The following is a 20728-nucleotide window of genomic DNA, read 5'->3' as shown; positions in this document are numbered from 1 at the left end:
CTAAGCACCACGTCTCACTTATTCTAAAACTGACCACATAATTGGAAGTAAAACACTCATCAGCAAATGCAAAAGAATGGAAATAATAACAAACAGTCTCTCAGACCACAGTGCAATCAAATTAGAACTCAGGATTAAGAAACTCACTCAAAACTGTACAAGTACATGGAAACTGAACAACCTGCTACTGAATGACAACTGGGTAAATAACGAAATTAAGGCAGAAATAAGTAAGTTCTTTGAAATCAAAGAGAACAGAAACACAATGTCCCAGAATCTCTGGGACACAGCTAAGGCAGTGTTTACAGGAAAATTTATAGCACTAAATGCCCACAGCAGAAAGCTGTAAAGAGCTAAAATTGACACCCTAACATCACAATTAAAAGAGCTAGAGAAGGAAGAGCAAACAAATTCAAAAGCTAGCAGAAGACAAGAGATAACAAAGATCAGAGCAGAACTGAAGGAGATAGAGACAAGGAAACCCCTTCAAAAAATAAATGAATCTAGGAGCTAGTTTTCTTTGAAAAGATCAACAAAATAGACAGATCGCTAGCCAGACAAACAAGAAAATAGAGAAGAATCAAACAGACACAATAAAAAATAATAAAGCAGATATCACCACTGATCCCACAGAAATACAAACTCCCATTGGAGAATACTATAAACACCTCTATGTAAATAAGCTAGAAAATCTAGAAGAAATGGATAAATTCCTGGATACATACACCCTCCCAAAACTAAACCGGGAAGAAGTTGAATCCCTGAGTAGACCAATAACAAGTTCTGAAATTGAGGCAGTAATTAATAGCCTACCAACCAAAAAGACCCAGGATCAGATGGATTCACAGCCAAATTCTTCCAGAGGTACAAAGAGGAGCTGGTACCATTCCTTCTGAAACTATTCCAAACAATAGAAAAAGAGGAAATCTTCCCTAACTCATTTTATGAGGCCAGCATCATCCTGATACCAAAGCCTGGCAGAGACACAACAAAAAAAGAAAATTTCAGGCCAATATCCATTATAAACATTGATGCCAAAATCCTCAATAAAATACTGGCAAACCAAATCTAGCAGCACATCAAAAAGCTAATCCATCACTATCAAGTTGCCTTCACACCTGGGATGCAAGGCTGGTTCAACATACGCAAATCAATAAACGTAATCCATCACATAAACAGAACCAATGACAAAAACCACATGATTATCTCAATAGATGGAGAAAAGGCCTTTGATAAAATTTAACACCCTTTCATGCTAAAAACTCTCAATAAACTAGGTATTGATGGAATGTATCTCAAAATAATAAGCTGTTTATGACAAACCTGTAACCAATATCATACTGAATGGGCAAAAAGTGGAAGCATTCCCTTTGAAAACTGACACAAGACAAGGATGCCCTCTCTCACCACTCCTATTCAACATAGTGTTGGAAGTTCTGGCCAGGCAATCAGGCAAGAGAAATAAATAAAGGGTATTCAAATAGGAAGAGAGAAAGTCAAATCGTCTATGTTTGCAGATGACATGATTGTATATTTAGAAAACCCCATCGTCTCAGCCCAAAATCTCCTTAAGCGCATAAGCAACTTCAGCAAAGTCTCAGGATACAAAATCAATGTGCAAAAATCACAAGCATTCCTATACACCAATAACAGACAAACAGAGAGCCAAATCATGAGTGAACTCCCATCACAATTGCTACAAAGAGAATAAAATACCTAGGAATCCAACTTACAAGGGATGTGAAGGACCTCTTCAAGGAGAACTACAAACCACTGCTCAAGGAAATAAGAGAGGACACAAACAAATGGAAAAACATTCCATGTTCATGGTTAGGAAGAATCAATGTCATGAAAGTGGCCATACTGCCGAAAGTAATTTATAGATTCAATGCTATCCCCGTCAAGCTACCAATGACTTTCTTCACAGAATTAGAAAAAAAAAAACTACTTTAAATTTCATAAGGAACAATATAGCCAAGACAATCATAAACAAAAAGAACAAAGCTGGAGGCATCACACTACCTGACTTCAGACTATACTACAAGGCTACAGTAACCAAAGCAGCGTGGTACTGCTACCAAAAGAGATATATAGACCACTGGAACAGAACAGAGGCCTCAGAAATAACGCCACGCATCTACAACCATCTGATCTTTGACAAAGCTGACAAAAACAAGCAATGGGGAAAGGATTCCCTATTTAATAAATGATGTTGGGAAAACTGGCTAGCCATTGCAGAAAACTGAAACTGAACCACTTCCTTACACCTTATACAAAAATTAACTCAAGATGGATTAAAGACTTAGATGTAAGACTTAAAACCATGAAAACCCTAGAAGAAAACCTAGGCAATACCATTCAGGACATAGGCATAGGCAAAGACTTCATGACTAAAACACCAAAAGCTACTATATAAACTGTTTAATAGGCACTAGAGCAGTGAAATAATGACAAAGCAGAGAAACATGCAGCCTGAATAAATGGCTAGTCAGTACCTCAAATTTGAAAATTACTTGCATTTTAAGGGAAGCAACAGCAAGTGTAAGGGATGCAATGGAAAGTCCCTTGGAAGACAATATCCAACAAGTAAAGCTCACTTAGCCAGCATCTGCACATATGGCCAAGCAGTGTTTTTCTAGTCTTCTTTTCGCATGGGGATTGGCCAACTAGTAACATGGACTTTTTGTGCTAGAAAGAAGATGAATATTCTATGTAAATAACTGTGAGTATTTTATATAAATATATATGTAGTCTCACTGAAGAAACAAAAACTTGGAATTCAGTGTTGTTTTCTTGGGTAAATCATTAATTTTGGAAAGAGTAGATGTAAATTTTATCTGCTTTTGCAAATGAATTGCTGGTATAAAATTAATAATTTTTGTATATGTTTGCTTTTCACAGAAACAAATTTTTTGAAGTATTTCAAGTTAAAAATTGAGTTAGTTTTTCTTTTATGCTACTGTTACTTAGTACTGTTGTTTCTTTTCCCCGAGATAATGTTCATTTAAAATTCTTATGTTTTTCTTTTCCTTTTTAAAAATAGTAACTCAAATACATGAGAAGATGTCAAGGAATGCTGCATATTAAAAATTCTTAGAGTTATAAACATACTATTTGTGAAAATTAGATTATTTACAGATGATCTCTATAAATTCTTGAGTTTAGGACTCTTGAAAATTGAATGCTAGAAATTTATATTTATTTTATTATCTCCTCTTTTATATTATGTCATTCTTTTATTTGTTGTTTATAAATTAGGAAGTTTAAATCATACTGCTTTTATTTGTAAATGTTTTACTAAAATTGCTATCAATTACATGAGCTACTTTATAATGATGATTTTGCCCATTAGAATATCTGATTGATAATACTTAAGACTAGAAAAGGTAATAACTATTTTCATTCATTGAGTCCTAGAAGGTAAAATTGCTATATTGACCTTAGTTTGAATTCTCTATTACAATTTCCATAAAAACCTTTCAGTATATGTTTGATATATCAAAATTTTGACTTTCAAATATTATTTTTAATTAATTGGAAAATGCATGCAAACTATCCTGTTTCAATCTGACTAGTATAATTGAGCAATATAACAGTGTTCTTGTCTGTCAATATCTTGCCAAATTACCTCCAAAGCAGATACAGTGGCCTGTGGAGAATAGGAGTTAGGAAGAAGTTCAGGACAGTGATCTACTCCATAATGGTTATTTCTGCATCATTTCTTCCTGTCTGTTTTCCTCATACTGGTGAAAGTCCAGAATTTAAAAAGAAGTTGAATTTGAAACTCAGAAAAAGCATATTCCAAGTAGATCCTATAAGGAGAAGAGTCATGGAGAACTGCATGTCAGCCTTTTAACGTAAAGGGCACTTTGATTTTATCGTAATAAAAAAGTATCTCTAAGCATAGTGTCTCTCATTTGACAACTTCATACAATTGCATTAAATTTTTATATGCATGTATATTATCTTACCAATTGGCAATTAGTGAGAAAACGTAAAGTTAAATAAGGGGTAACTCGTTTTTAGCCTAACTTTTCTTTCCTTCAATCATTTCAGTGTGTTAATATAATACAACAAAACTTTAAATAAACCCATCATTTTGTTGAGCACAGACTTGCTATCACTAACTCGATTTACAAATTTGGTTAGTTTTTCTATCAAATTAGCTTTAATGTAAAGTTTTTTCAGTAGTAGCTATGTTTTTCATAGCACCCTGAGGTGTCACATTAGATGAGTTAGTTTTTTGAGTTCTTGTTCTTTGAAGCTTTTTATGTCAATAGTTGACCACAGGAACTAGTCTATAAAATCGTCACTGAATTCAGTGAATCTGTCATTTACTCATCTTGAATGACATAAAAATGTTGATATCCTGGAGCTGGATTGTACTAACTCATGAGAGCTAACAGGTAACTTTTTGGAAATTTTGCAATCCATTTATGAAACACAGCAATTACCAAAGGTTGAATGATATAAACTTATTAAGTAATTAATATTAAAAGGGAATATGTGCTCAAAACTCGTCATGAATAATTATTTTTATATAGTGTAGTATTGTCTATACTCTTGAGGTGGTTCATCTGGTTTATAGTATCATTATGGTGAAAATACCATATAATGGAGGATTATTGTGATTCTCTTTTCAACTTCACGTTCAGTGATTTCCCACTGGTAGCTTGAAAGAAGCAATGATAGAAGTATTTATACAACATAGAAATTAGCAAATGACATAAGTCAGGACAGATTTATGATTTTGTCCATTGTCTTAGTAGAGCTGAAAGAAGTTTCAGGTTTTTTTTTTTTTTTTTTTTTTGAGATGGAGTTTTGCTCTTTTGCCCAGGCTGGAGTGAAGTGGTGCAATCTTGGCTCACTGCAACCTCCACTCCCTAGGTTCAAGCAATTCTCCTGCTTCAGCCTCCTGAGTAGCTGGGATTACAGGTGCGTGCCACCACACCTGGCTAATTTTTGTATCTTTAGCAGAAACAGCCTTTCCATGTTGGCCAGGCTGGTCTCGAACTGCTGACCTCAAGTGATCCACCCGCCTCGGCCTCCCAAAGTGCTAGGATTACAGGCTTGAGCCAACTCTCCAGGCCAGAAGTTTCAGTTTAATGAATAAAATTTGTATAAGAGTGAGAAATAATTTAACAGTAAATCACATACCAAATCAATTACAAAAAAATATTGAGAAAAGTATTCAAAAGTTGTATGGAGTTTTATTTGCCATATCATAGTTCAATCAAAACCATAGGTTGGCTAGATATACAAGGGTTCAGCAAAAATCAATGAAAGTATTCTGTGAGAATTGGTCACTTATATGAAGTTTATAGTAAGAGTTATTACATATTTTATTATTTATAAATTATATGTTACACATCTTTTATATCAGTACTGTTTATAACCTTATGTATTATGTATGTTTTCAAGAGACAGTCTTAAATAGTTACCAGCACACTCTCATAATCACCACTGTAGTATTGGTTGAGCCACTTCTGTTTTCACTCCGCACTCTACTCTACATTGTGGATTGTTTGAATTTGGATTGCATGAGCTCCTCCACTTGGTTTCTTCCCTTCCCTTCGCTTCCCTTCCCTTCCCTCCCCTCCCTTCCCCTCCCTCCTCGTTTTATTAATTTTTACATCCTTGAACTCAAAATCCAAAACCATTAGCAACTATTTATTTTAACAGCTTTATTGAGCTAGAACTCACATTTTTTAAAGGTTTGTAATATTTTTATTGTACTGTTATTTTTCCTGAATATTTTTGATTATCAGTTAGTTGAATCTGTGGATGTGGAATTCATAGATACCAAGGGCCGACTGTATTGCATATTTCTTATTTATTTATTTATTTAGACTTTAAGTACTAGGGTACATGTGCACAACGTGCAGGTTTGTTACATATGTATACATGTGCCATGTTGGTGTGCTGCACCCATTAACTCGTCATTTACATTAGATTTATCTCCTAAAGCTATCCCTCCATCCTCCCCCCACCCCACAACAGGCCCCAGTGTGTGATGTTCCCCTTCCTGTGTCCAAGTGTTCTCATTGTTCAATTCCCATCTATGAGTGAGAACATGCGATGTTTGGTTTTTTGTCCTTGCGATAGTTTGCTGAGAATGATGGTTTCCAGCTTCATCCATGTCCCTACAAAGGACATGAACTCATCATTTTTTATGGCTGCATAGTATTCCATGGTGTATATGTGCCACATTTTCTTAATCCAGTCTATCATTGATGGACATTTGGGTTGGTTCCAATTCTTTGCTATTGTGAATAGTGCCACAATAAACATACATGTGCATATGTCTTTATAGCAGCATGATTTATAATCCTTTGGGTATATCCCCAGTAATGGGATGGCTGGGTCAAATGGTATTTCTAGTTCTAGATCCTTGAGGAATCGCCACACTGACTTCCACAGTGGTTGAACTAGTTTACAGTCCCGCCAACAGCTTAGAAGTGTTCCTATTTCTCCACATCCTCTCCAGCACCTGTTGTTTCCTGACTTTTTAATGATCACCATTCTAACTGGTCTGAGATGGTATCTCATTGTGGTTTTGATTTGCATTTCTCTGATGGCCAGTGATGATGAGCATTTTTTCATGTGTCTGTTGGCTGCAAAAATGTCTTCTTTTGAGAAGTGTCTGTTCATGTCCTTTGCCCACTTTTTGTTGGGGTTGTTTGTTTTTTTTGTAAATTTGTTTGAGTTCTTTGTAGATTCTGGATATTAGCCCTTTGTCAGATGAGTAGATTGCAAAAAATTTTCCCATTCTGTAGGTTGCCTGTACACTCTGATGGTAGTTTCTTTTGCTGTGCAGAAGCTCTTTAGTTTAATTAGATCCCATTTGTCAATTCTGGCTTTTGTTGCCATTGCTTTTGGTGTTTTAGACATGAAGTCCTTGCCCATGCCTATGTCCTGAATGGTATTGCCTAGGTTTTCTTCTAAGGTTTTCATGGTTTTAGGTCTAACATTTAAGTCTTTAATCCATCTTGAATTAATTTTTGTATAAGGTGTAAGGAAGGCATCCACTTTCAGCTTTCTACATATAGCTAGCCAGTTTTCCCAGCACCATTTATTAAATAGGGAACCTTTCCCCATTTCTTGTTTTTGTCAGGTTTGTCAAAGATCAGATGGTTGTAGATGTGTGGTATTATTTATGAGGGCTCTGTTCTGTTCCATTGGTCTATATCTCTGTTTTGGTACCAGTACCATGCTGTTTTGGTTACTGTAGCCTTATAGTATAGTTTGAAGTCAGGTAGTGTGATGCCTCCAGCTTTGTTCTTTTGGCTTAGGATTGACTTGGTGATGCGGGCTCTTTTTTGGTTCCATATGAACTTTAAAGTAGTTTTTTCCAATTCTGTGAAGAAAGTCATTGGTAGCTTGATGGGGATGGCATTGAATCTATAAATTACCTTGGGCAGTATGGCCATTTTCATGATATTGATTCTTCCTATCCATGAGCATGGAATGTTCTTCCATTTGTTTGTGTCCTCTTTTATTTCGTTAAGCAGTGGTTTGTAGTTCTCCTTGAAGAGGTCCTTCACTTCCCTTGTAAGTTGGATTCCTAGGTATTTTATTCTCTTTGAAGCAGTTGTGAATGGGAGTTCATTCATGATTTGGCTCTCTGTTTGTCTATTATTGGTGTATAAGAATGCTTGTGATTTTTGCACATTGATTTTGTATCCTGAGATTTTGCTGAAGTTGCTTATGCGCTTAAGGAGATTTTGGGCTGAGACAATGGGGTTTTCTAGATATACAGTCATTGTTAGACAAGCAAATGCTGAGAGATTTTGTCACCATGAGGCCTGCCCTACAAGAGCTCCTGAAGGAAGCGCTAAACATGGAAAGGAACAACCAGTATCAGCCACTGCAAAAACATGCCAAATTGTAAAGACCACTGATGCTAGGAAGAAACTGCATCAACTAGCGACCAATATACCCAGCTAACATCATAATGACAGGATCAAATTCACACATAACAAGATTAACATTAAATGTAAATGGGCTAAATGCTCCAATTAAAAGACACAGACTGGCAAATTGGATACAGAGTCAAGACCCATCAGTGTGCTCTATTCAGGAGACCCATCTCATGTGCAGAGACACACATAGGCTCAAAATAAAGGGATGGAGGAAGATCTACCAAGCAAATGGAAAACAAAAAAAGGCAGGGGTTGCAATCCTAGTCTCTGATAAAACAGACCTTAAACCAACAAAGATCAAAAGAGACAAAGAAGGCCATTACATAATGGTAAAGGGATCAATTCAACAAGAAGGGCTAACTATCCTAAATATATATGCACCCAATACAGGAGCACCCAGATTCATAAAGCAAGTCCTTAGAGACATACAAAGAGACTGAGACTCCCACACAATAATAGTTGGAGAATTTAACACCCCACTGTCAACATTAGACAGATCAACGGGACAGAATGTTAACAAGGATATCCAGGAATCGAACTCAGCTCTGCACCAAGCAGACCTAATAGACATCTACAGAACTCTCTGCCCCAAATCAACAGAATATACATTCTTCTCAGCACCACATCACACTTATTCCAAAATTGACCACATAGTTGGAAGTAAAGCACTCCTCAGCAAATGTAAAAGAACAGAAATTATAGCAAACTGTCTCTCAGACCACAGTGCAATCAAACTAGAACTCAGGATTAAGAAACTCACTTAAAACTGCTCAACTACATGGAAACCGAACAACCTGCTCCTGAATGACTACTGGGTACATAACAAAATGAAGGCAGAAATAAAGATGTTCTTGGAAACCAATGAGAACAAAGACACAATATACCAGAATCTCTGGGACACATTTAAAGCAGTGTGTAGAGGGAAGTTTATAGCACTAAATGCCCACAAGAGAAAGCAGGAAAGATCTAAAATTGACACCCTAACATCACAATTAAAAGAACTAGAGAAGCAAGAGCAAACACATTCAAAAGCTAGCAGAAGGCAACAAATAACTAAGATCAGAGCGGAACTGAAGGATATAGAGACACAAAAAAACCCTCCAAAAAATCAATGAATCCAGGAGCTGGTTTTTTAAAAAGATGAACAAAATTGATAGAGCGCTAGCAAGACTAATAAAGAAGAAAAGAGAGAAGAATCAAATAGACGCAATAAAAAATGATAAAGGGGAGATCACCACTGATCCCACAGAAATACAAACTACCATCAGAGAATACTATAAACACCTCTATGCAAATAAACTAGAAAATCTAGAAGAAATAGATAAATTCCTGGACACATACACCCTCCCAAGACTAAACCAGGAAGAAGTTGAATCTCTGAATAGACCAAGAACAGGCTCTGAAATTGATGCAATAATTAATAGCTTACCAACCAAAAAAAGTCCAGGACCAGACAGATTCACAGCCGAATTCTACTAGAGGTACAAGGAGGAGCTGGTACCATTCCTTCTGGAACTATTCCAATCAATAGAAAAAGAGGGAATCCTCCCTAACTCATTTTATGAGACCAGCATCATCCTGATACCAAAGCCTGGCAGAGACACAACAAAAAAGGAGAATTTTAGACCAATATCCCTGATAAACATCGATGCAAAAATCCTCAATAAAATACTGGCAATTCAAATCCAGCAGCACATCAAAAAGCTTATCCACCATAATCAAGTGGGCTTCATCCCTGGGATGCAAGGCTGCTTCAACATATGCAAATCAATAAATGTAATCCAGCATATAAACAGAACCAAAGACAAAAGCCACATGTTTATCTCAATAGATGCAGAAAAGGCCTTTGATAAAATTCAACAGCCCTTCATGCTAAAAACTCTCAATAAATTAGGTATTGATGGGACATATCTCAAAATAATAAGAGCTATTTATGACAAACCCACAGCCAATATGATACTGAATGGGCAAAAACTGGAAGTATTCCCTTTGAAAACTGGCACAAGACAGGGATGCCCTCTCTCACCACTCCTATTCAACATAGTCTTGGAAGTTCTGGCCAGGGCAATCAGGCAGGAGAAAGAAATAAAGGGTATTCAATTAGGAAAAGAGGAAGTCAAATTGTCCCTGTTTGCAGAACTCACATATTATAAAAGTAATCATATAAAGTGTATAATTCAATATTTTTAGTGTGTTCAGAACGTTGTAGAACCACCATCCTCTAATTTTGGAACATTTTGTCCCTCCTAAAAGATACTTTGTGGCTATTAACAGCCAGTCCTTATTTTTTTCTCCTCCCCAGTTCTAAATAAGCAATAAACTACTGTCATTATTTTTATTTTTATTTTTTTGAGGTAGTTTCTCACCCTGTTGCTAAGGCTGAAATGCAGGGACACAATCACGACTCACTGCAGCTTCAACCTTATGGGCTCAAGTGATCCTACAACCTCAGCCTCCTGAGCATCTGGGACTACAGGCATGTGTCACCATGCCCAGCCAATTTATTTATATTTTTTATAGTGATGAGGGTCTCACTATGTCTAAAACTCTTGGGCTCAAGAGATCCACCTTCTGCAGCCTCCCAAAGCACTGGGATTACAGGCATGAGCCACCACATCTGGCCCTATTTCTATCTATATACATTTGCCTATTTTCTACATTTCATATGAATTGAATCATACAATATGTGGTCTTTTATGTCTGGCCTCTTTCATGAAACTTAATGTCTTCAAGGTTTATCCATGGATGAATCAGTACTTATTTCTCTTTATGGTAGAAAGATATTCCTTTGTATGGTTATGCCACATTTTGCTTATACATTTTTCAGTTCATGGACATTTGAGTTCCCACTTTTTGGATATTACACATATGCTACTATTAATATTCATGTATAATATATTTTGGGTGAACTTATTCCTTTTGAATGTGTGTATGTGTGCGTGCGTGTGTGTGTGTGTGTGTGTGTGTGTGTGTATTTCGTATATACATGATTTTGGCTTACCAAGTCGTCTGGTAAGTCTATGTTTAACTTTTTGTTACTGCCAGTCTGTTTTCAAAGCAACTGCATTATTTTGCATTCCCACCAGCAATGTATGAGGATTCCAGTTTTTCCAGATCCTTGCCAATACTTGTTATTTAATATAGCAATCCTAGTGCATGTGAAGTAGTGTTTCATTGTTATTTTGATTTGCATTTATCTAATCACGAATTATATTAAGCATTTTTTCTTGTGCTTGTTTGTCATTTAAACATCTTTTTGGAGAAATGTCTGTTCAAATTCTTTAACAGTTTTTAAATTGGGTTATTTGACTTTCTATTACTGAGTTGTGTTTTCATATATTATGGATGTAAGTCCTTTATTAGGTATATGATTTCCAAATATTTTCTCCCATTTGTATGAGATGTCATTTCACTTTCTGGTGGTATTATTTGCATCATAAACATTTTAAATATTTTTGTAGTTCAATTTATAATTTTTCCTTTTGTTGCTTTTAATTTTGACAGTTATGAGGACTTTGCGTTACCCAAGGTTACAAACATTTACTTCTGTGTAACCTTGTACAAATTTTGAGTTTTAGCTCTTACATTTACATTGATCATTTAATTTAATTTTTATGTATGGGTTGAGGTAGGGACCTGACTATTCCTTTTCATTTGGGTATATAGTTGTCCTGGCATTATTTGTTAAATTCTTTTCCTACTGCATTGTTTTGACATGTCTTTTGAAGATGAACTGAATAAATGGAAGGCTTTATTTCTGAAGTCTCAATTTTATTCCACTGATCTATATGTCAATTCACATGCCAATACCACACTATCTAATAAAGACTTTAGTGTAGTAAGCTTTGAAATTAAGAAGTGTATGAACTCCGAATTTCTTTTTTTTAAAGGCTATTTTGGCTAATCTCGTTTCCTTGAATTTACATATAAATTTTAAGGCCAACTTGTCAATTTTCATGAAAAGCTATTTGGAATTTTGGTAGTGATTTCAATGATCCTGCAAAATAAGGTTTATATTGTCTTCTAGTCTATAAACGTAAGGTGTATTTCAGTTTATTTAGCTCATATTAAATATTTTCAGCAATGTTTTATAATGTTCAGTGTATAAGTCTTACACCTTTTTTAACATTATATCTAAATTATTCCTAAGTATTTTAGTGTTTTGAAACCCTTATAAAAGAAATTATTTTTCCCCCTTCATTTTCAGATTGTTCATTGCTAATAAAAACTACAATTGATTTTTAATATTGACTGGAACTCATTTATTAGTTCTAACAGTTTTTTAATGGATTCCTTAGAATTTTCTATATATGAGATCATGTCATTCGTGACACACAAAGCATCTACAAAGATATTTTTACTTCTTCCTTTCCAATTTGGTGTATTTTCTGTCTTTTCCCTGATTAATTTTCCTGGCTAGATTCACCAGTATGATGTTAAATAGATGTGGCTAGAGCACACATTCTTGTTTGGCTTTTATTTTTAGGAGGAAAGCATTCAGTCTCTCACAATTAAATAAGATGTTAGTTGTGGGAGGTTTTTGTAGATGTCCCTCATGAAGTTGAGGAAATTCCTTTCTATTCCTAATTTACTTAGAATTTTTGTCAGGGAAGTATGTTGGCTTTTGTCAAATGAGTTTTTTCCTGGATCTATGGAAATAATAATATGCTTGTGTCCTTTATTGTATTAATATGATATATTAAATTAATTCATTTCATTGTATTAAACTAACCTTGCATTCCTGGGATAATCCTACTTGACTGTGGTATATAATAACTTGTAAATGTGGTTGGATTTGGTTTGCTAGTACTTTATTGAGGATTTTTGTATCTATATTCATAAAATATATTGTTTTGTATATCTTTTTTATCCTGTGATATATTTGATTTTTGTATCAAGATAATGCTGGCCTCATTGGATAATTTGGGAAGTGTTTTGTCACCTATTGCTTTAAAAGAGTTTGTGATGAATTCCATTGATTCTTTGAATGTTTGGTTCAGTGAGGCTGTCTGGGCCTGGGCTGCTTCTGTGTGTGAAAAGCTTTTTTTTTTTTTTGAGATGGAGTCTCACTCTGTCGCCCAGGCTGGAGTGCAGTGGTGTGATCTTGGCTCACTGCAAGCTCTGGCCTCCCAGGTTCATGCCATTCTCCTGCCTCAGCCTCCCAAGTAGCGGGCACTACAGGCGCCCACCGCCACACCTGGCTAATTTTTTGTATTTTTAGTAGAGACAGGGTTTCACTGTATTAGCGAGGATGATCTCGATCTTCTGACCTCGTGATCCACCCGTCTCAGCCTCCAAAGAGCAGGGATTACAGGCACGAGCCACCGCACCCCGCTGTGAATAGCTTTTTTAATTACTAATTTTGTCTTTATACTTGTGATAGGCCTATAAATTTTTTGTCAGCCATTATCAATAATTTAAGTCTTTCTAGGAATTGTTAATTTTATATTATTAATTCTAATTTGTTGACATACACTTGTTTATGGGTTTTTGTGATTCTTTTATTTTTGTAAGGTCAATAATGATCCTTCTTTTATTCCTAATTTTAGTAATTTGAGTCTTCCCTCCTCTTTTTACATTTTTATATAAGTAGAGCTTAAACTTTGTCATTTAAAAAGTTGTTTTCACATATTGCCTTTTAGTTTTGCTGATTTTGTCCATTGTTTTCTACTCTCCATTTCATTTGTTTCACATCAAGTTTTTACATATTCTCTCCCTTCTGCTCGATTTTAGTTTACTCTTTTTCTGGTTACTAAGGTGAAAAGATAAGTCTGATTTGAAATTTTTCTTATTTTTTAATACAGGCATTTAGCACTGGTTTGGGCATGTTGTGTCTTTGTTTTCATTCATCTCAAAGTATTTCTAGTTTTCCTTTGGATTCGTCTGACCAATTAGTTTTCAGAAGTATGTTAATTTCTTTATATTTGTAGTTTTCCCAAATATCCTTGTGTCATTAATTTCTAATTTAATTCCATTTTGGTCATAAAACATGTAAAATATATTTTCAATCCCTTAAATTTATTGAGGCTTGTTTTATGATAGCATGAGGTCTCTCATGAAAAATGTGTTACTGTTTTGTAGAGTGTTCTATGTATGTCTATTAGTTTTTTTTTAAATTTTAAGTATTGTTCAAGTCTTGTATTTCTTTATATATCTTCTGCCTAATTGTTCTACTTTGGAAGGTGAGCTTTTACGTTTCCAGCTATTATTGTTGAATTGTCTATTTCTCCCTTTAATTCTGTTTTTGCTTCATCAATGTGTGTGTGTGTGTGTGTGTGTGTGTGTGTGTGTGTGTGTGTGTGTGTCACTTGGAGTCTCTTATTGGGTCCATATATGTTGATCGTTGTTTTGTCTGTCTGGTGAGTTGAACTTTTTATTACTATGAAATGAGTCTCTTTTTTAATTATATTTTTAAATTATATTTTAGTGGTTGCTCTTGAGCATACAATATACATTCAAAATTATCAGAATCTACTTCAGATATATAGTATGTTGGTTACAACCAAGTAAAGAAATTTTAATTTTATATAGCTATATTTTTCCCACTTTTTTGTTCTGTGACTGATATATATTTTGTTCTATGGCTGATAAGTCATAAAACTGACACACACATGTAAAACATCTATATATGTTAAAATACAACAATATATTGTTATAACTATTGCTGTTTATAATCTTATGTGTTTTAAAGAAGCTGAGGGAAGAAAGTAGAAAAGTATATATATATTTTGAGGCGAAGTCTCACTCTGTGGCTCGGGCTGGAGTGCAGTGGCGTGATCTCAGCTCATTGCAACCTACACCTCCCAGGTTCAAGCGATTCTCCTGCCTCAGCCTCCTGAGTAGCTGGGACTACAGGTGCATGCCACCACGCCCAGCTAACTTTTGTATTTTTTAGTAGAGAAGGGGTTTCACCATATTGGCCAGGCGGGTCTTGAACTCCTGACCTCATGATCTGCCTTCCTTAGCCTCCCAAAGAGCTCGAATTACAGGCCTGAGCCACTGAGCCCGGCCAACTTTCTTATTTGACCTTTTTGGTTCTCTTTCTTTCTATGTGTGGATCTGCATCACCATAAGGTATCATTTCCTTACTCCAAACTCCAATACACCTTTGTTTCTGCCCCTTTTCTCTGTTATTGTCAAGTGTGTTACATTTCTCTATGTTATTATTCCAATAAATCAATTACCTATTGTTTTATCCAGTTGCCTTTGAAGTCATTCAAGAACAAATATGCAATTATACTGTCTTTAACATTAATATATTACATTACATTATATTAATTTGTATTATATTATATTATTTTTACCTTTACTGGTGTTCTGGATATTTTCATGTGAATTTGAATTACTGTCTGATGTCATTTACCTTCAGCCCAAATAACTTCCTTTAGCATTATTATCATATGTTATGTCTACTAGCATTGAATTCTCTCAGTTTTGTTCATCTGGGATAGTGTATTTCACTTTTTTTTTTTTTTTTTTTGAGACGGAGTTTTGCTCTTGTTGCCCAAGCTGGAGTGCAATGGTGTGATCTTGGCTCACTGCAACCTCCACCTCCCAGGTTCAAGCTATTCTCCTGCCTCAGCCTCCCAAGTAGCTGGGATTACAGGCACGCACCACCACACCCAGCTAATTTTGTATTTTTAGTAGAGATGGAGTTTCTCTATGTTGGTCAGGCTGGTCTCGAACTCCTGACCTCAGGTGATCCACCCCCCTCTGCCTCCTCCCAAATTGCTGAGATTACAGGTGTGAGTCACTGCATCTGGCCTTCACCTTAATTTTTGAAAGATAGGTTTCTCTGGCTATAAGATTCCTTGTTGACAGTTTTTTACATTTAGCAATTTGAATATTTCATCCCATTGCATTCTGACCTCCTTTGTTTCTTTTGCGAAGTTAATTGTAATTGGGGTTAACTTATATGTGATGTGTCTTTTATCTCCTGGTGCTTTCAAGACTTTTGTCTTTGCCTTTGGTTTTAATTTCTACTGTACTGTGTCTATTTACTTTTTTTTTTTTTTTGCGTTTTTGAAACTTTGGGTTTGTTGAGCTCTAAGCTCATTAAATATATTTCTTCCAGTTTCTGAATGACTTAATTATACCTTACTGTCTAACTCATGATATTTGGCTGATTTATATGGTAGACCTAACCTCTGAAGGCATTTTTGATTTTTACTTATAGAGTACAGGTGTATTGTGCTTAAATCATAGTTGAGAGTAAACAGGTCCACATAACAAGAAGATAATAGACAATTTTCCTCCACAAATATGTGATTTTAATATTATCCTGACAAACACTGAACTTCCAATTTCTTGAGACAATGTTGACTGTTAAGAAATGCTTGTGAAACTTTTCAAATGTATGCTCCTATGGCACAATTTGTATCTCCTGTGCTCTAACTCATACCCATTGGTAGTTGGTTGAATAATGGCCACCCTAAGATACCAAGTCCTAATTCTTGAAACTTGTAAACATTATCTTGTTTGGTATAAGGACCTTTGTAGATATTATTAAGCATCTTGAGAAGATTACTTTGGATTATCTGATTAGGCTCTAAATCTCATCATAAGGGTCCTCACCAGAGAGAAAAACGCAGAGGAGAGATGCACAGAAGAGACAATGGTAATATAATGCAGCCTCAAGCTGTGAAATGCTGTAAAGCACCAGAAGCTGGAAGAGGCAAAGAATGGGTTCTCTCCTAGAGCTTCCAGAAAGAGTATAGCTCTGTGGACATTTTGATTTTGGACTTCTGGCCTCCAGGATTATGAGAAAATAAAGTACTCTTTTTGAAAACCACTCATTTTGTAGTAAGTTGTTAGAGAATCCATAAGAAATTAATATACTACCCTAGCAACCATTTCTTTAATACCTATTTTCTGCATTAAACTGTAAGCTTCACAAATGCCTCAATTATCTGTCTTACACATCTTGCTAACTCCAGCTACTAGCAGAGGGTTTAGTAGTATCTGGGCCTTGTTGAATACTTATTGATAAAATGAGTAAATAGGCTGTGATCCCCACATCACTCACAGTTGAGTATTTAGCTAGATAAATGAGTGAACATGTGAATGAATTAAAGGACAAATATATATTTATTCCCATAAACAATAAATACAGACTAAGTGTAAAAGATTATCATATTTTTTGTTTTTCCAGCAAAGGAACCCTCTCAGTTCCTTTGCTGGAGACTGTACAAATTTCATGGCTGGGAACAAAGAAGACAAAGTTTTATGGGTGGTTTTACTAGTGGGTACAGTTAGAATTTGAGTTTTCAGCCTAGGAAAGGTGGTTATTCTCTCAGGTATAGGGGATAGGTCAGGAGGAGGCATATGAAATTGTGTTTTTAGCTCTTTGACCTAACATGTGATTTCCTATATATAGTTGTCTGAATATGTTGCTTCAGCCACCACTACTCACAAGGCTTACCATGTCAGAAAAATAAATGAATAAATAACAAAAAACTAACAGAAAGCACCAGGTGACTTACTTTTGTTTTTGCAGTGAGCTCAGTCTGCTGGGGTTACTGTTCAAATAAACTCTTGCCATCTCACTGCATAATGATTTTGCTCAGATTAATCACTCTCTTGTGCTGTATGCTGGGGTTAATGGCTATGTTATGTTACTTCAAATTATATCACAGGGTCCAAATAAGAAGTGTGTGTGTGTGTGTGTGTGTGTGTGTGTCGGTGTATGTGTGTGTGTGTATGTGTATGTGTGTGTTTGCAAGCAGGAAGCCCTTTCATGTTGCAGTCATGTAAGATTAACTTTATTATCTCATTCCAAACTTATTTCTTACTCCTCTCTATTATCCATGAAAACTCTTTGTTCTTTGCTGTACTTCCCAGCAAAATGGCTTTTGCCTGGCTCCAACTCCAACCTGTGTTAAATTATATTTCTTCCTGGAATCTACTTCAACAGAAGGTGATATTTTCTCTTAATTCTTATAGTACTTTGCATATTTTTATCATGGTCCTGAAAATGACAAGAGCCACCATTTACTGAGGGTTCATTATGTGGTAAACATTGGATTACATCCTTTAAATATGTCATTTCATTTAATTCTTACAACAGTTTTGTGTAGTGGGCTCTTTATTTTATAGGAGAGAAAAACTGAAATTTAGAGAAGTTTAAGTGATTTGCACAAAATATGCTGCTTCCAAGTAGAAGATCTAAATTTCACATAGATAATTTCTAGAGCTCATGTTTTTAACCTTTACCACATATTGTTCTTTAGACCAATACTGATAGAATAATAAATGTGTTTTCTTTCCTAGGTTATGCAATAACCTAGGATAACTCTGTATCATTTTTTTCATTTCTCGAATTACAGTTTCCAGGGCCCAGCAACTCAATATTGTTTGGATGAATTAATAAATATCTAGAATTTAATTATTACAATAAAAAATTACTGGGCCTCAAAATATATTTTAAAATAATTTAAGAAAATCGTACTGATGGCAACAAATAAGTCATTATAAAAACTTAAAAGATGGAATTGATGGGTAAGCATGATTTATTCAATATTAACTATGCCAAATGTCTTCTCTCATGTTTTTCCAAGTTCTGTATGTAAGTAATGCATAAAATATTGAAATATTCATTCATGAATTTTTGACGTTTCCTATATAGATGATTTTGTTGAGGTTATAAAAACATTTTGTTTTAAACAATTTGTGTATTAAATGCAAATTAGTTTATTAATCTTATGGGTTTTTGTTGTTGTTGTTTTGTTTCCAGGATGGCGTAGGGGTAGATGAGAAGCTATCTTTACGACGGGTAGCTGTGGTTGAAGATTTCTTTGACATTATTTATTCGATGCATGTGGAAACGGGGCCAAATGGAGAACAAATTCGGAAACACGCTGGACAAAAGAGAACTTACAAAGCAGTAAGTTAAAAAAGAAAAAAAAAAGAGCATGCATTTCGAGACTTGATATTATGTATCCTTGTTTAAATGGGTTCGATAATTATAAATATTCTATCTTCAACATAAATTAGGCCATATGATGGTCATGCCCAACATTTAAACTATAATTATTTTGGTTGTATGTTCACTAGTCTATTCATATAATTTAAAACTGTCTCTAGAATTTTCATATTGTTGCCTTTAAAAATGTATAATATGTGGTAGTCCCAATCAAATGTCCACAAATGGGGACATATATTATATATTATATTATGAATATTATATATTCAATGAGTCATAGCATATGAATTATGGACTGGAACATAAGAACTTTTATACTACCACTACTGTCAACAATTATTTTCCATCAAATCATATTAATATGTTTAGGTATTTTCTAGTTCATAGTAATAATAAAGTCATGAGGAATATTTTATGTACTTTTCTTATGTCTCCTTATATTCAATGTATTTATCCTGAAGGGTATGTATTTCTTAATTTTCCAGGATAGAATATTAAAAGATATGTGTTATTGTAATAGATCTAATGCCCTTGAAAGTTTAAAAATGGAAGTATATGATGTTTTTGTCATAAATTTTGTAAAAAGCAGATTTAATTAACTGCTAGATATCGAAATATATAGTGTCAAAATGGAGTAATATATTAATCTAAAGTTTCTAATTATACCTACAGTTTGATCTAGACACTTTAATCTAGCTTTTTATTTAATTAAAACCTTTATAAAATCATATTACTATAGATATTTCATCCTGTCTAGGAAAATTGAACAGTAAATTATTCTTCTCCTATATGAGCAAAATGTGCATCCGAATTACTTTGTCAGCAATGAGAATAATATCCTTTTTGAGAATTCTTATTGAATTTTGCTTTTGGCTACCTTTATATTAACTGTTTTCAGCTATATTGATATACAATATCAGTCTGGATCCATTTTTTTTTCAGATACAGAAAAATGTGTGAAATGCTCAAAGTTTCAAATACAGGTACCTATGTTTGAAAATTAGCTACTGAGCATAAGAAATAGCTTCTTTTTCATAACTATTTTTTGCTATATTTCCAGGGTCATATTGAATCTTTGTAGTTGCATAATAACCCCTAATACATGTTGTATTTATCCCTCCTCCTCTATGGTTTTGTTTCTTGGCTGTTTCCAAATTGCATGGTTTGTGGGCAGGCACTATTGTAAGTTTCCTTACATAAATCTGCCACATAAACTTTCTTTTGACTTACACATTCCAGGAGACATTCTTTTCATGACTAATGATAATGGCCTAGCTTCTTGGGATATTTTTATATAGACTAACATTACTGAACATACTCATTTTGCCTGTCTCCTAAGCCAGGGCTATTCCTCTGGACAGTAATAGGAAAAAATAAATGTATATTGATCTACTAATATCACTAACTGTGTAATCTTATAATAATACATTTTCATGAAATAGCTACCTGAACTCGACAGGACTTTGTAAAAGGACTTTGCTAGGGATGCATAATTTCAATTGTATTAAATGAATAAAAACAAAAACCAAAATAACAAGCAAAAATCAAGTGGTTTCGTTGTCAATAGTAGTGTGGCAGCCAAATCTGTTTAGGTGCCAAAAGCAATTTAAAATAATTTAATCTTTGAAATGCATTTATTATAGACCTTTAATCAAAATGCAAAATGAGTCAATGATTTAAATCCAAATCTCTTGCCCTGTGTTTTCTTAAATGAAATGTAGAGAATCTGATCCATTGCCATTATGCATGCTAAACACTTGTAATAAATTGATAAACATGTTTCCAGTGTACACAATTTTGAATTAACATTAGGAAGACATTTTCTGCATTTTGGGGTAGAGATATAACCTTTGAAAGTATGTCCAGAATCTGAAACCTTATCTAA

General features: G+C 34.6%; 1 protein-coding gene across 26 annotated transcripts in view; it reads left to right on the top strand.

Moving 5' to 3' along the window:
• Positions 1-20728, top strand: part of NOL4 (nucleolar protein 4) — a 373814-nt gene that overhangs the window by 76239 nt on the left and 276847 nt on the right. For 20 of the 26 annotated variants that reach the window (XR_935261.4, XM_047437902.1, XM_047437901.1 and 17 more), the window contains one exon: positions 18655-18804. Coding sequence is in view for 18 of the 26 variants with exons in the window: in XM_047437902.1 (XP_047293858.1) it covers positions 18655-18804 (150 nt within the window). In the remaining 8 variants the exon portion in view is untranslated. Of the gene's footprint in view, positions 1-18335; positions 18420-18654; positions 18805-19763; positions 19827-20728 lie in introns of those variants that run through there. The other 6 variants (NM_001384472.1, NM_001353237.1, NM_001282527.2 and 3 more) reach the window with 3 other exon arrangements.

Source organism: Homo sapiens, chromosome 18 (genome assembly GCF_000001405.40).
Source record: "Homo sapiens chromosome 18, GRCh38.p14 Primary Assembly".
Taxonomy (NCBI): Eukaryota; Metazoa; Chordata; class Mammalia; order Primates; family Hominidae; genus Homo; species Homo sapiens.
Note: the sequence above shows the minus strand (reverse complement) of the source record. Positions and strands in the feature narration are given on the sequence as shown.